Source organism: Homo sapiens, chromosome 10, assembly GCF_000001405.40.
Source record: "Homo sapiens chromosome 10, GRCh38.p14 Primary Assembly".
Taxonomy (NCBI): domain Eukaryota; kingdom Metazoa; phylum Chordata; class Mammalia; order Primates; family Hominidae; genus Homo; species Homo sapiens.
This window is the reverse complement of record NC_000010.11, coordinates 95,626,800-95,641,551: the sequence shown is the minus strand read 5'-3', so window position 1 is coordinate 95,641,551 and position 14,752 is coordinate 95,626,800. Positions and strand designations below refer to the sequence as shown.

The window sequence follows — 14,752 nt, the reverse complement described above, 5'->3', positions numbered from 1 at the left end:
ACAGAGCAAAACCCTGACCACCCCCCCACCCGCCCCTGCAGAAAAAAAAAAACAAAAAACACCCAGAACAACAGCAATGATCAAACCCACCTCCCAGATTGAGTCCATCAGATAAATTTTAAAAATATTTATCAAGAGACTACACTGTGAGGGGCACTAGCCTCTCTACCCTCTCTACCTTAGAAACATAACAGTCTTTACCCTTTGCGAGCCAGAACTGGGACTCCCCACACATTAAGGTGACTGTTCAGGGCAGTAAATATCCAAATAAGTGGGCCCAAATGACAGTGAGCGATGGGTCCAGAGGTGGGAAACTCAGATGAGAGTATGGTTGTTCCTGGGGCTTCCTAGGAGAGCTGGAACTCAGCCTGGGCCTTGACAACTGATGGGATTTGCACAAACAGAGGGGAAAAGTTCCATGCTACTAAGTACACAGTGTGAGGTGCCCCTGCAGTTGTGCAATCCAGTGGTTCTGGGGAAGGGACAGGCTCTAGGAGTGTATTCCAGGTAGAGGACAGGCAGGAATGAGTATGGCATGCTGTGGGCCAGGGAGGAGACAAGCTGGAAAGCAGAGGTGGTGGTCTCATTAGGAAGAATGAAAAATAAAGTGGATCATTCCATTAGGCAGAGCTCTGAAGCCAACTAGGTGAGTTGGAGTTCAGTCTCAAAAGCAGGCTGAAGATTTTGAACGGAGGAGAAACTTGATGAAAACGGTAGGAAAAACCTGGTAAAGGTTTGCGTAGGTTACCAGCTTTCTTTCTAGGGCTGCGTGTGGACCTAATGGAAGAGCTGTCTCCATCAGGGCCTGACTAATAGACATCTTATCATGTCAGATGGACTCAGGAGCCAACTTAAACTGGCTTCCACTGGCCATAAATGGGATGATGTAAACATCAAGAAAGGGAATCACAGCTGGGCACAGTGGCTTACACCTGTAATCCCAACACCTTGGGAGGCCAAGGTGGGCAGATCACCTGAGGTCAGGAGTTCAAGACTAGCCTGGCCAACATGGTGAAACCTCATCTCTACTAAAGATACAAAAATTAGCCAGGAATGGTGGCACCTGCCTGTAATCCTAGCTACTTGGTAGGCTGAAGCAGTAGAATTGCTTGAACCTGGGAGGTGGAGGTTGCAGTGAGACAAGATCGCACCACTGCACTTCAGCCTGGGCGAGAGTGAGACTCAGTCTCAAAAAAAAAAAGAAAAAAGGGAATCACTGCACAATACAACAAAATATGTTTAAATCCATGAGTTCATAATTATACTTAAAAAAAAAACTTCATTGGCCATTTTTGGAGGCCACTAGAGAAGCTACTCATATTGAAAATGGATGAGTAAAGGGGAAGAGACACACATTTGTCCTGCTTTTCATAGACAAACTGTACCTCAGGGTAACCAAATAGTTGGTAAAGGAGAGTTTCCCTTTTGGAATTATTCCAGATTATAAATGACGAAGGAATCATTGAGTTAGAGTGTCAGCATTTTGCATCTCCTAATGGAATAATGGATCTTGGCAATGATCATCAACAGATGCTAACATCACAAAAAGAAAGATAACCAGGCATTATGTATCCCCTTGATGAACATGTACACCACAACTTATAAAGACTTGTTGGGGAAAAAAAAAAAAGCCTTCATACCAAACAGCAGTTTATAGGGTATACAAAGAGCAGTATTAATACCATAAGGACACAATTGGGAAAATGTAGGCTGGGAAATCCTAAAGAATAAACAACTCAGTTTAACAAAAAATTACAAGGGGGAAAACTGATGGAGAAGGGAACCCATGAATGAAAGAGACTTGAGAGACACTTCAATTAATTTGTAATGCAGGGTTTAATTTGCATCTCAATTTGAGCAAGGTAAAAAAAAATTGGAAAAATATGAACACTGGCTATTTGATATGAAGGAAATCATTGAAATATTCCAGATAATGGATTTGTGGAGAGAGAAAGACATATAATTATATATTATATATAATATATATGATTATCTTTTAGCAGTTATTACTGAGCTATTTACAGATGAAATAACATGTCTGTTGCCTGGAATTTGTATTAAAACAATGGTGAGGGTATAGAGGGGTTATTGGAGAGTGGGAAGTTGGCCATGAGAGATAGTTGGTGAAACTGGGTGGTATGTACATGGGGATTTATAATACTATTCTCAGCACTTTGGTTAAGTATTAAATTTTCTTTTTCTTTTTCTTTTTATTTATTTTAGAGAGAGGGTCTTGCTCTGTCACCTAGACTGGAATGCAGTGGTGTAATCATAGTTCACTGCAGCCCTGAACTCCAGGGCTCAGTTGGGATCCTTCTTCAGCCTCCTGAGTAGCTGGGACTACAGGCACATGCTACTTGGCTATTATTTTTTTTAATTTTTCATAGATATGGGGTCTTACTATTTTGCTCAGGCTGGTTTCGAATTCCTGGCCTCAAGCAGTCGTCCCACCTCAGCCAGCTGAAACTTTCTGTGATAAAATATTATTGTCGGGGCCAGGCACAGTGGCTCACACCTGTAATCCCAGCACTTTGGGAAGCCAAGGTGGCTACTCAAGGGGCTGAGGTCAGGGGGTTGCTTGAGTCCTGGAGGTCAGGGCTACAGTGAGCCATGATTGTGCCACTGTCCTCCAGCATGGGTGACAAAGCAAGACTGTGTTTCAAAAAAAAAAAAGTTATTATTGTTTTAAATCATGGTTTATCATAGCTGTTTGTTAAACAGCTGGACCAGTTAAAAGGTTTCAGACATCAGAAGGAAAGGACAGTTTAGGAATATTGACTTTATTACATCTTGAGTCTTTAATTTTTTCATGTAGGTCTGCTTAAGGTAGGAAACAAAGTGACCGCATTTGGTCTTGGGCAGACAGAGCAGAACAAGGTCAGCATGTGCCCCTGGTGTAGGCAGAGGCAACCCATAGGATTAGACATGCCACCAGAACAGCCTCCTTTACCCGGGTTAAGCCTTAGAACCTGAGAAGCCATCTACTGAGTCTGCGTTGCATTTCCTACCTGCGGACTTTTATTCTGGGCTTCATTTCTTGGAGGAACTAGGCCTTCTGCATTACACACTCCCTGCAAATATTAGGTTGGCACAAAAGTAATTGTGGTTTTTGCCATTACTGTCAATGGTAAAACTGCAATTACTTTTGCACCAACCTAATACAGTCAAGTCCTATAGATGTCAAACTTGGCTACACACCAGAATTTCCTCATTAAAAATGTCTTACTTAGGCCAGGCATGGTGGCTCATGTCTGTAATCCCAATGCTTTGGGAGGCCGTGGCAGGAGGATGGATTAAGACCAGAAGTTTGAGGCCAGCCTGGGCAACATAGTGAGACTCTGTTTCTACAAAAATGTGTTAAAAAAGAAAAATTAGCTGGGCATGGTGGCATGAGCCTGTAGTTCCAGCTACTTGTGAGGCTGAGGCAGGAGGATCACTTGAGCCTAGGCAGCCAAGGCTGCAGTGAGCCACATTCATGCCACGGCACTCCAGCCTGGGCGACAGAGCAAGACTCTGCCTTAAAAAAATTTTTTTCTTAGGGTGTTGTTGTTGTTGTTGTTGTTGTTGTTGTTGTTGTTGTTGTTTTTGAGACAGCATCTCTCTCATTCTATTGCCCAGGTTGGAGTGTGGTGGTGCGATCATGGGTTACTGCAGTCTTAACCTCCCTGAGCTCAGGTGATCCTCCTACCTCAGCCTCCCAAGTAGCTGGCATGCACTACCATGCCTGGCTAAATTTTGTACTTTTTGTAGAGATTGGGTCTTGCCATGTTGCCTGGGTGGTCTTGAACCTCCTGGGCTCAGGCATTGTGCCTGCCTTGGCCTCCCAAAGTGCTGGGATTACAGGCATGAGCCACCATGCCCAGCCAATTGTTTTAATTAAAAAATAAATTAAAATGTCTGATTTTTGTCTGCCACCTGCTAAATAGAAATTTGAGACAGGATGTAGGAATCTGTGTTTTTACCAATCTGGCTGATTCTTCCAGAGCCAGCCACATGCTGGTTCATAAACCAGCATTTGGGATCTACTCGATAGCCCACCCTACCTCCATCCCTTGTGAAGAGATGAAAGAGACAGTACGGTAACTTACAGTCCCCTTTCCTTTCTCAATGCCCAGGTATCAGTGCTGCAGAATCAGGGCAGAGAGATGATGCTGGTGACCAGTGGAGCCGTAGCCTTTGGCAAACAACGCTTGCGCCATGAGATCCTTCTGTCTCAGAGCGTGCGGCAGGCCCTCCACTCGGGGCAGAACCAGCTGAAAGAAATGGTGAGTGCTGCTTCCCCACACATTGAAATGGATCTTCAGGTCTTCTTCCCTCATTCCCTACCACACCTTGTCTCATTGGTATATTACAGGCAATTCCAGTCTTAGAGGCACGAGCCTGTGCAGCTGCCGGACAGAGTGGGCTGATGGCCTTGTATGAGGCTATGTTTACCCAGTACAGCATCTGTGCTGCCCAGGTGAGAGGCTGGGCTTTGAAATGGGTGTGGGACCTGTGAGGGTGGTTGTTGTGGAACAAAGGGGTCTGGAGCCAGACTATTGGAATATGGTGTCAGCTTCATCACTTGCTACTTGAGATCTGAAGAAAGTTTCTTTTCCTTTTTGTGCCTCAGTTTCCTCATCTGAAAATGGGGATAATATCAGTGCCTATTTCAGATAATTTTTGGAAGGGCTCAGTGAGAAAATATATGAAAAGCATTTAGTATAGTGTTTGGTACATAATACATTGTCAGTAAATATCAGTTCTTGTTACACTAATAACTTAGGATTCCAAGTGCTAACACTTCTGAAGACAGAGAAGTTAAATGTCTTTATTTCACTGGCTTCTTTGATTTCAGGTGGCTTGCTTCTCTTTGCACCTGGTTGGTTGCCTTTTATAGCAGATATTTATTAAGCTTTGAAGGGAAAGAGGAATGCTGGTGATTGGTTGGTTTTTCACTCATTCAGCAAATATTTATTGAGCACCTATGGTGTACCTAGCAGTCTTGGGCATTGGGGATACTGTGGTGAACAAATCAGACATGATTCCAGTCCTCATGGGACTTACGAATTTTTGGTGGCTACCCCTAAATGTTCTAGAACCTTCTTTCTACATTGTTTCATTTTTACCTAAATCTCCTGAATTTTTTTGAATTATATTCTTAATCAACTGTACAACTACACACTAGAGACATCTCAATAACAGTCACTTCAGGAAACAACTGAAAAAAAAATCTAACTCCCAAATTATTTTATTTTGAAATTCCTTTACCTGTAAAGATGTAAAATAGCTGTTATTTTATATTATGGATATTATTTTACATGTACACTACATGCACAGATGTTATTTTACACAGGTGATATTGTTATATATACATATATTGTTTCAGGTTTTGCTTCTTCATTTCCTGTTACTTTTTTTTGTTTCTCCATCATTTGCCTGTTTGTACCCACAGTGATGTTCTGGTATTACACCAGAGTGTCCTCAAGTCAGTGAGGTAAAACAGAAAGGCACGGACTTGTCCCATTGCCTATGGCTGGGGACCCCACTTTCTGTAGTCTTAGCTTTTTTTCTGTTAGTATAAATACAGTATAAATCTCTATTTATATCACTCTTCTTTATTATTTGGTTTCTCTTCACAGTCCAATGACAACTTTGGTCTTTAATTTTTTTAAAGTGCCTGGAGCCAGGTGAGGAAGCTCAAGTCAGGGAGCTATGGTTTTGCTTTGGTTTGGTTTTTCCCAGGGATGAAACCTTTTGAGAGTTTGTTTTTGTTTTATTTTGTTTTGAATGATGGTAGCATTAAGAGTCCATGCAGCATCAGCCATTGTTTCCATTTACATTGAGTGAAAGAAGAGCCCTGCCCCCTCCAGTTCCCAACAAGCTTCAACCCCTGGGCTCTTTCCTCTCACACCTGTGTCTTCCCCCAAGGCCATCATATCTACAGAAAATATTTGCCCTTTGTACCTTTTCCTGTGGTTCCTTATTTTCTTCAGTAATCCTATATAGAAGACCATTGTCAGTGGCTTTTGAAAATTTCCAGTAGGTGGTTTGCCAGGTTAAAGACTTAAACACTTAAAACAGCTTGTTTTTTCTTCATAGAAGGGAAACTGATTTTCCCTCAACAGATTGCGCTTGTCTAAACACGTACTTTTCCCTCTTGGGACTCTTTATCTCCTACCTTCATGCTGAGATCCCCAGGCCATGTTTGTGAAGCTATTTTGGTGACAGGTATTTTTCCTGGACCTTTAGATCTCCTGCTTGTCTCTCCTACACACGGGTTTATATTAATTGTTTGATCTTTCACCATCGTGACTAGAATCTATATGTTCAGTTTGGACCTAGTCCTGTGTCCAACAGCACTAAGCTTTTCTGAAAAGGAGTTCATGATCTTCCCTTTCAAAAATATGCTCCATTTTATTTTTCCCCAAGACATCAACATTCTTATTCTCCATTCCAGCAGCTAGACTCTGGCATTTCAGAGGTACTCAACAAATTTTTTATCGAGTGAGTGAATTATTTTTCTATATGTATGTTTCCTGTGTTTTATATACCATTAAGGCTACTGTTTTATTGCTATATTCTTCTCAGTTACCATAGCCAGACCCTTAACCATCCTCACTTTGACTGTTTCAGTGCCTGCTTTCTTTACTATTTGCTTCCAGCTTTCCCTACCTCATCCTGCCCTACACAGCAAGAACGCTCTTCCGTAAACATTAGAGAGATTGCATTATTTATTGTTGAGCCTCAAGGTTTGTTGCCATTTAGTTTCTTGCTATCTCCATTCACCCATTTATCTTTTTCTCCTAAACATTGCATAAAATTCTGATTTAAGCTAGAAAGCAGAGCTGTTTACCAGCCCACACACCAGCTCTCCATTCTACCTTTGAGCACCTTATGCTCATCTCCTCCCTTGAACCAAGTTGTGTTCTGCCCCCCTTTCAGCTTGTGACCAAAGACTAACTTCCATAAATTTCTCAGACTAACCCCACATGCTCACACACAATCTTAGTTAACTCCAGTAATAGTCTGCTTTAGAGCAAGAGCAGTGACAACACAGCCCTATTCCATTTTGTCTAATACACTTTCACTCACTCACCAAATATTTAAGGGCCTACTATGGCCAGGCCCTGAATCAGATCCTAGAATACAGAGATATTTTAGAAATTGCTGGGGCACAGCGGTGTGCATCTTTAGTCCCAGTTACTCAGGAGGCTGAGGTGGGAGGATCACTTGAGAGTAGGAGTTCAAGTCCAGCGTGGACAACAGAGTAAGACCCTCTCTATAAAAAAAGAAAAGAAATTAATGGATAATCACTGATTCCCCCAGTATCCCTCTAAAATAGATACATTAATTTTCTTAATTTTGTAAATGGATGAGATTTTGGAATTTGGTAGCTCTTTGAGGATTAAAGTACTTTTGCAAGAAGTCTTGAACATTCTTAAATAAATCTTTCAGATTATTGTAATTTTTTTTATCTCTACAAAAATTGGGGCCAGGTGCAGTGGATCACACCTGTAATCCCATCACTTGAGGCCAGGAGTTTGAGACCAGCCTGGCCAACATGGCGAAACCCTGTCTCTACTAAAAATACAAAAATTAGCTGCGTGTGCCTGTAATCCTAGCTACTTGGAAAGCTGAGGCATGAGAACTGCTTGAACCCAGGAGGTGGAGGTTGCAGTGAGCAGACATTATGCCACTGCATTACGGCCTGAGCGACAGAATGAGACCCTGTCTCAAAAAAAAAAAAAAAAAAAAAAGAATTGGATAGCACCCAGATATGTGTATTTCATTCTAATCTTCTAATCTGTGTGGGGCCCCAGAAACCTAAAGTTTAACTCCCCTGCTCTTAGCGTCTTTTGTATACTGGGAAGTTTAGCGTTTTTCTCCCTCATGCATTTTCCATCTATTTAATCCTTTTAGATTTTGGTGACCAATTTGGATTTCCATGATGAGCAGAAGCGCCGGAACCTCAATGGAACACTTCATGAACTCCTTAGAATGAACATTGTCCCCATTGTCAACACAAATGATGCTGTTGTCCCCCCAGCTGAGCCCAACAGTGACCTGCAGGGGGTAAATGTGGGTAAAGTATTTCTAAGGGTTTAGCATGCTGGAGACACTAACACCATGCTATGCTGCATGCACTAACACCAGAAGTTTGGCATAAACAAGATGGAAAAGTTGTGAGAGAAACTTGTCATGGAGCAGTGACTGCATAAGCTCTTCTGAACTCGTGGTTGCATTCAACAGGGTGAGGTGCTATAGTCACTGAAGATGGTGCGATGAGCATGGCTTGTATATTTCAGTGGCTAGAAGACTGCATGTTTGGAAAAAGGATTGCCAGTAGACAGTGTGTTCTGCAGACAGAAGGGGCCTGCAAGAGCCGTCATCTACATATTTGGGTTCATTGGTTTTGCCTGATCCTAGCTTGGTTTTGCCTGAGCTTGGCTGTGTTCTTCCATGAATTTCTTTTTGGACTGCTTAGCTCACTCACTTATGACTTTTTAATCTGCATTCTAGGTTATTAGTGTTAAAGATAATGATAGCCTGGCTGCCCGACTGGCTGTGGAAATGAAAACTGATCTCTTGATTGTTCTTTCAGATGTAGAAGGTACAAAGTAATGCTTTTTTCCTTTATCTGCCCTTTGTTTTAAATGCTACATATGTGAGCACATGAGTTTCCCTCTTTCTTTGAGTCCCTCTGATGTTTTTTTGCTATAGATCATTAGCCATATGTTCTGACAAAGGGCTTTTATGACTCAAAACAGGGTGGGTGAGTCTAAGAGATGTCATTTGAATCCTGAAATGTTACTTCCAGGTGCTTTCAGTTGTTTTCCTTAAATAACAGCTTTATGGAGATGTAATTCACATACCATACAATTCACTTATTTGAAGTTTACAATTCTGTCCTGGCGTGGTGGCTCACACCTATAATCCCAACACTTTGGGAGGCCAAAGCGGGAGGATCACTTGAGCCCAGGAATTCAAGATCAACCTGGGTAATATAGTGAGTCCCTGTTTCTACAAAAAATAGAAAAGTCAGCTGGACATGGTGGTATGCGCCTGCGGTTCCAGCTACTCGGGGCTGAAGCAGAAGGTTCACTTGGAGCTGGGAGTTCCAGGCTGCAGTGAGCTGTTATCGTGCCACTGCACTCCAGCCTGGGTGACAGAGCGAGACCCTATCTCAAAAATAAATAAATAAATAAAAGTTTACAATTCAGTGATTTTTAGTATATTCACATAATTGTGCAACCAAAACCACAGTCATTTGTAGAACACTTTCCCTTTCATCACCCAAATAAGAAATTCCATAACCATTAGCAGTCACTCCCCACTTCTACCCAAACTCCCCATCCCTAGGCAGTCTCCAGTATATTTTCTGTTTCTATGGATTAACCTGTTCTGGAAATTTTATTTAAATGGCATCATATACTATGGTGGCCCTTTGTGACCGGCTTTTTTCACTTAGCATGTTTTCAAGGTTCATCCATTTTACAGCATGTATCAATACTTCATTTGTTTTTATTGCTGAATAATATTCCACTCTGTGGATGTACCATGTTTTATTTATCAGTTCATCTATTGATGGACATTAGCTGTGAACATTCATGACACGTTTTTGTGTGAACATGTTTTTATTTCATCTAAGAGTGGAATTGCAGGGTCATATGGTAACTCTGTTTAAAAGACTTTTGAGGAGCTACTAGACTGTTTTCCAAAGTAAGGCCCCTTGTACCATTTCACATTCTCACCAGCATTGTATGAAGGTTCTAATGTGTTTACATCATTGCTGTTATTCAGTTGTTTTTTTTTTTTTTTTTTTTTTTGAGGCAGAGCCTTATCCTGTCACCCAGGCAGGAGTGTAGTGGCACAATATCGGCTCACCGCAACCTCCACTTCCCAGGTTCAAGCGATTCTCCTGCCTCAGCCTCCCGAGTAACTGGGATTATAGGCACCTGCCACCACACCTGGCTAATTTTTGTATATTTAGTAGAGATGGGGTTTCACCATTTGGGCCAGGCTGGTTTTGAACTCCTGACCTTGTGATCCACCTGCCTCAGCCTCCCAAAGTGCTGGGATTACAGGTGTGAGCCACCGCGCCCGGCCTATTCAGTTGTTTTTATCTGCCTTTTTTATTATAGCCATCCTAATGGGTGTGAAGTAATATCTTACTGTGGTTTTGATTACTTTCAGTTTTTAATGTAAACCATGGGACAGATTGTGGATTTTTTTTGTTTTTGTTTTTCCTTTGTTGGGACAGATTGTTTTAAGTTGGAGCCACTGTAGAAGTCTAGGCTATCTGGGTACCATATTCTTATATGTTACTCTGTTCTTCTCTGCTGTTCCCTTCTTCCTGGAGGGGCCACTCTTGGCTCTAATATGTCTTTCCATTCACTCCTCTCAAGCTTTCTTAAGCTATTTCCATTTCACAGTCTGACCCATAAGAAATATAGTAGCTGTGTCCAAAATCTAGGATTCCAAAAGTCCCCTGTTAACACTCCCAGAAGGTTAGAAAACCTCTACTTAATTCCCAGCCCACATCAAGGCAGGTTAACATGGCAGGACCTGTTCTCTGTTTTACGCTCAAGCAGTTGTGAGGTAAGGGCAGGGACTACCTAGTGGAGGCAGGGGCAGACATAGATGAATTGATCTGTCTCTGCCCATGTGGAAAGTCAGAGATACGACACCTACATGTCAATATCTTTACCTGTAAGAAGTCTTAGTCCTGTGTTATCCACTGTAATTTGAAGTCCCAGGATAGGAACAGGTAAGTTGGGGTAAGTGTGAGCCACCCTGGAGAAAAAAGGCATTTTGGTTCATCAACAGGTTTTCTATTTATTCATTCTCCCCACCCCCCTGAGATGGAGTCTTGCTCTGTCACCCAGGCTGGAGTGCAGTGGCATGATCTCAGCTCACTGCAACCTCCGCCTCCTGGGTTCAAGCGATTCTCCTGTCTCACCCTCCCTAGTAGCTGGGATTACAGGTGTGCGCTATCACGCCTGGCTAATTTTTGTATTTTTAGTAGAGAAGGGGTTTCACCATGTTGGCCAGGCTGGTCTTGAACTCCTCACCTCGTGATCCTCCTGCCTTGGCCTCCCAAAGCACTGGGATTACAGGCATGAGCCACGGCGCCTGGCCAATCAGCAGGTTTTTATTGAATTTCTAGCATGAGCACATAGTGTGCTAGGTGCTTGATAAATGTAATTTATTCAATCTTTATAGCAACCCTACAAAGTAGGTAGTGGGTAGGCTAACCCAGTTTTACAGATGAAGAAATTAAAAATTAGGTTCAAGCTGGGCACGGTGGCACATGCCTGTAATCCCAGCTACTTGGGAGGGCTGAGGCAGTAAGATCACTTGAGCCCAGGAAGTTGACGCTGCAGTCAACTGTGATCATGCCACCGCACTGCAGCCTGAGTGACAGAAACAGAGACCCTGTTGGGAGAGGGGGGGGAAAGAAGAAGAAATATTTTTTTTAGTTTAATTTAAAATTAAATTCAGATCTATTAAATGGTGTATCTGAAGTCACATAGCAAGTGCTTGACAGAGGCCAGTTTCAAATCTGAGTCTGTTCAATTAAAAAAGCTACACTCTTCCTTCTCTCTTATACTGCTTGACAAGGTAAAAAAAAAAATGTAAGGTTTTGAGATTAATTTATAAAACCCAGTTTGAACAAGACTCTAGCAAATCGTTTTGATGCAGCTTCAAGCACCAAAATCGGGTCATTGGTAGACTGGCATTCTTATTGTGATTATCCTAATTCATTTTCTACTGAGTGTTGATTTTTTAGAACAGTATCTGAATTTTAACTATGCTCTTGGTGGGGTAAGGGGAAAAGAGGAGTAGGCACATTATCAGAATGCTAGGAACCCCTCACTGTCTTTGGAGAAGGTTTGGCTAGAATTGTCCAATCTTTCCTGTACTAATATATGAAACTGAAACAGCTTCCAAATCTAAATCTGTGATCTCATAGCACTGTATCTTCTGGGAAGATCCTAACCCTAAATCCTGGAGAGTTGTGGAGTAGTAGGTTGAGACTGACAGATTGTGAAAGGTTATTTTTTCTTTTCCTGTAATAATTTGCACTGCTTATAGTTGCCACTGCTTTGCTCTACAATGGGCATTGATTTCCTCACTTCCCTGATTCACTTACTCCTGCAGAGAGGTAGTATGTAGCAAGATTGTCTTAAAGATTTGGAATAATAGAGGGGAGAGGTATATTATAGCACAGGAAAAGCAGTAACTTGAGACCAGAAAAATCACTGCCCAAAATGTCCTTCAGCCAGTCCCCAGCCTCCCCATCTGTGTCCACTTTAGGTCTTGATTTAACTCTAGTTTCTCAGCCCTTTCTTACCCCCACTTTTTCTTGTCCAAGCTCCTACTTACTCTTTTTCAAAGTGAAATTGTGAGGGTTTTTCATCTTGGATTGTATGCATGTAACATTTCAGGTAACTATTTTATGTCACTCCACTTAGTTATAAAAGGGACATACACTTTATGGTAATAAATCCAGACTGAATGCCAAGAGTCACGCACTCTCCTGCTGACTGAGCCTAACCTCTACAGTGACTCACTCATAAAACTGGGAGTGTAAATTAGTGACTGTTTCAAAGGGTACTGTGAGAGTTAATGAGTACCTCTGTTGCATTTCATCCTGCTTGGAAACAGTCACATTAAACAGTATATGGCTGCTATGCTGTTTCTGCAATAGCCACCCTTCTTTTTCAGTTCTGTCCTTAAAGCACAGCATCATAAGTAGCAATGGCAGAATTAAGGACACCTTGCCAGGAATATGGGCAGGGCTAATAAATGTTGTGCTGAGGATATGGCCATGATCTGATGTTGGGAAACATTTATTTATTAAGCCAGGTTATAGAAATAATGTAAGGTGAGTCTTCCTGGAGATGTTTGTCAGTGTCGAATCCCTTGTTCTCTTTTTCTGGTTAAAGCAGGTGGTAGTGCAGTGGAATTCATTTGGATGAGTAAAGTACAGAGTGATTGGCAGGTGCCCTGGGGAGGCCTGTCTTGGAGACACTTCCATCAAAGCAGTATTACTGACTCTTGTCTATTTTTTAGGCCTTTTTGACAGCCCCCCAGGTTCAGATGATGCAAAGCTTATTGATATATTTTATCCCGGAGATCAGCAGTCTGTGACATTTGGAACCAAGTCTAGAGTGGGAATGGGTGGCATGGAAGCCAAGGTAAGAATCTGGTGCCTTAACTGCCTATAACAATTTTAAAGCCCAAACTATATTGTATCCTTTTTACTTTTGTAATTATTTGGGGGTTAATGGTTCAGATAGTAGGCACATACACACTTAAATATGTACATACCTAAATACAGATTTAATGAGTGTTGCATTCCAACATTTGGTTATGTCTGTGTATGTGGGTTTTCTCATTAATATTGTATGAACAGTGTGTTCATGTTGTAAACTCTGCAAGGGCAGGGCCTATATATTTTTCATAATTCATAAATCTCTCATTTATCAGTTCAAATATTTCTTGATGAAATCTTTCAAAAATTGTGTCCCATTAATTGTTCTTAGAAGTTATACCCGTAAGGTACAGCATCACATGTATCAACAGCACAGATGAGGACAAGACCCCCACTTAGAAAAGCCAGAAGTACTCAAGATCAGACTCTGGTCAAACTCCAGCCTGTTGGTCTACTTAATTGTTTCTAAGTTGAGGCACAGTAAATCAAATGTAGAAGTTATGAGTCCCATACTAGAGAGACTGAAGAGAGAACAGACTGGAAACAAAGGATAGGTTGGTTTACCTTTAAGTAACACAGGCCAAGGTTGAGCTGGAAAGTGTGTGAACTGTTATGTGTTTTCAGAGCTTCTAAGCTTTTAAAAACATTCTCTCATATACTTAAGTTGTTCAATATCAACTTGTATTTTATATCTTTTTGCAAGTTTAAAATGTGGGTGAATAGGTCTGAATCTCATCTTTACTGGATCTAACCTGTCTCATTAGGTGAAAGCAGCCCTCTGGGCTTTGCAAGGTGGCACTTCTGTTGTTATTGCCAATGGAACCCACCCAAAGGTGTCTGGGCACGTCATCACAGACATTGTGGAGGGGAAGAAAGTTGGTACCTTCTTTTCAGAAGTAAAGCCTGCAGGTAAATAGTTCTTCATAAGGTCCCAAGGCCTGTGATGGGAACTAGTGACACCTGGCTTAGTTAGAGATCACAAAATTGATATGCTAATATTATGAAATATGGCATTGTTTTGAACGCTATTTGCAAAATCGGATTTTGCTTTGCTTTTGTGAAATTCTATCTAACCTGCCTATCTAGACCTATTCTCTGCAAAATCACTCGGTTAAAATATATAAGCATTGATTTTCTCAAGAAACATTTGCTAGGCCTATGTTAGATGCCAAGTGCTAAATAAGCACTAGAGATGCAAAGATGCATATGATACAGTATGTGCTCTCGAGTGTTCACAAAGGACAGAATTGCCTCATAATCTGCATTCAGAAGTGTAAACACATTAAAAAATATCGCCAAAGTGGAATTCAGAAGAATTCTAGAAAACAAAGTATATTGTCTGCCCCAGAAATACAGGCAAGTTCTTATGTTTATACCTGAGTGAATCTGGCACATTCTTTTGCTATTTTATTGGTCATGGTGATCCCCTGTGTGAAACAAGCATACCAAGACATCATGTGTTCCTTCTGTGGGCGTGATGAGCTTGTGCATGTGCTGGTAGTTCTCTCTCTAGTAGTAGAACTAGAGAGAGAACTAAGGTGACCATGACCT

General features: G+C 41.6%; 1 protein-coding gene across 10 annotated transcripts in view; it reads left to right on the top strand.

The window, feature by feature from the left end:
* ALDH18A1 (aldehyde dehydrogenase 18 family member A1) overlaps positions 1–14,752 on the top strand; it is a 50,771-nt gene that overhangs the window by 15,160 nt on the left and 20,859 nt on the right. For 5 of the 10 annotated variants that reach the window (NM_001323412.2, NM_002860.4, NM_001323416.2 and 2 more), the window contains 6 exons: positions 4,116–4,265; positions 4,355–4,459; positions 7,903–8,061; positions 8,503–8,593; positions 13,060–13,184; positions 13,966–14,110. In NM_001323412.2, the coding sequence (NP_001310341.1) occupies positions 4,146–4,265; positions 4,355–4,459; positions 7,903–8,061; positions 8,503–8,593; positions 13,060–13,184; positions 13,966–14,110 (745 nt within the window). In that variant the 5' untranslated portion in view covers positions 4,116–4,145. The remainder of the gene's footprint in view (positions 1–4,115; positions 4,266–4,354; positions 4,460–7,902; positions 8,062–8,502; positions 8,594–13,059; positions 13,185–13,965; positions 14,111–14,752) is intronic. The other 5 variants (NM_001017423.2, NM_001323418.2, NM_001323415.2 and 2 more) reach the window with 3 other exon arrangements.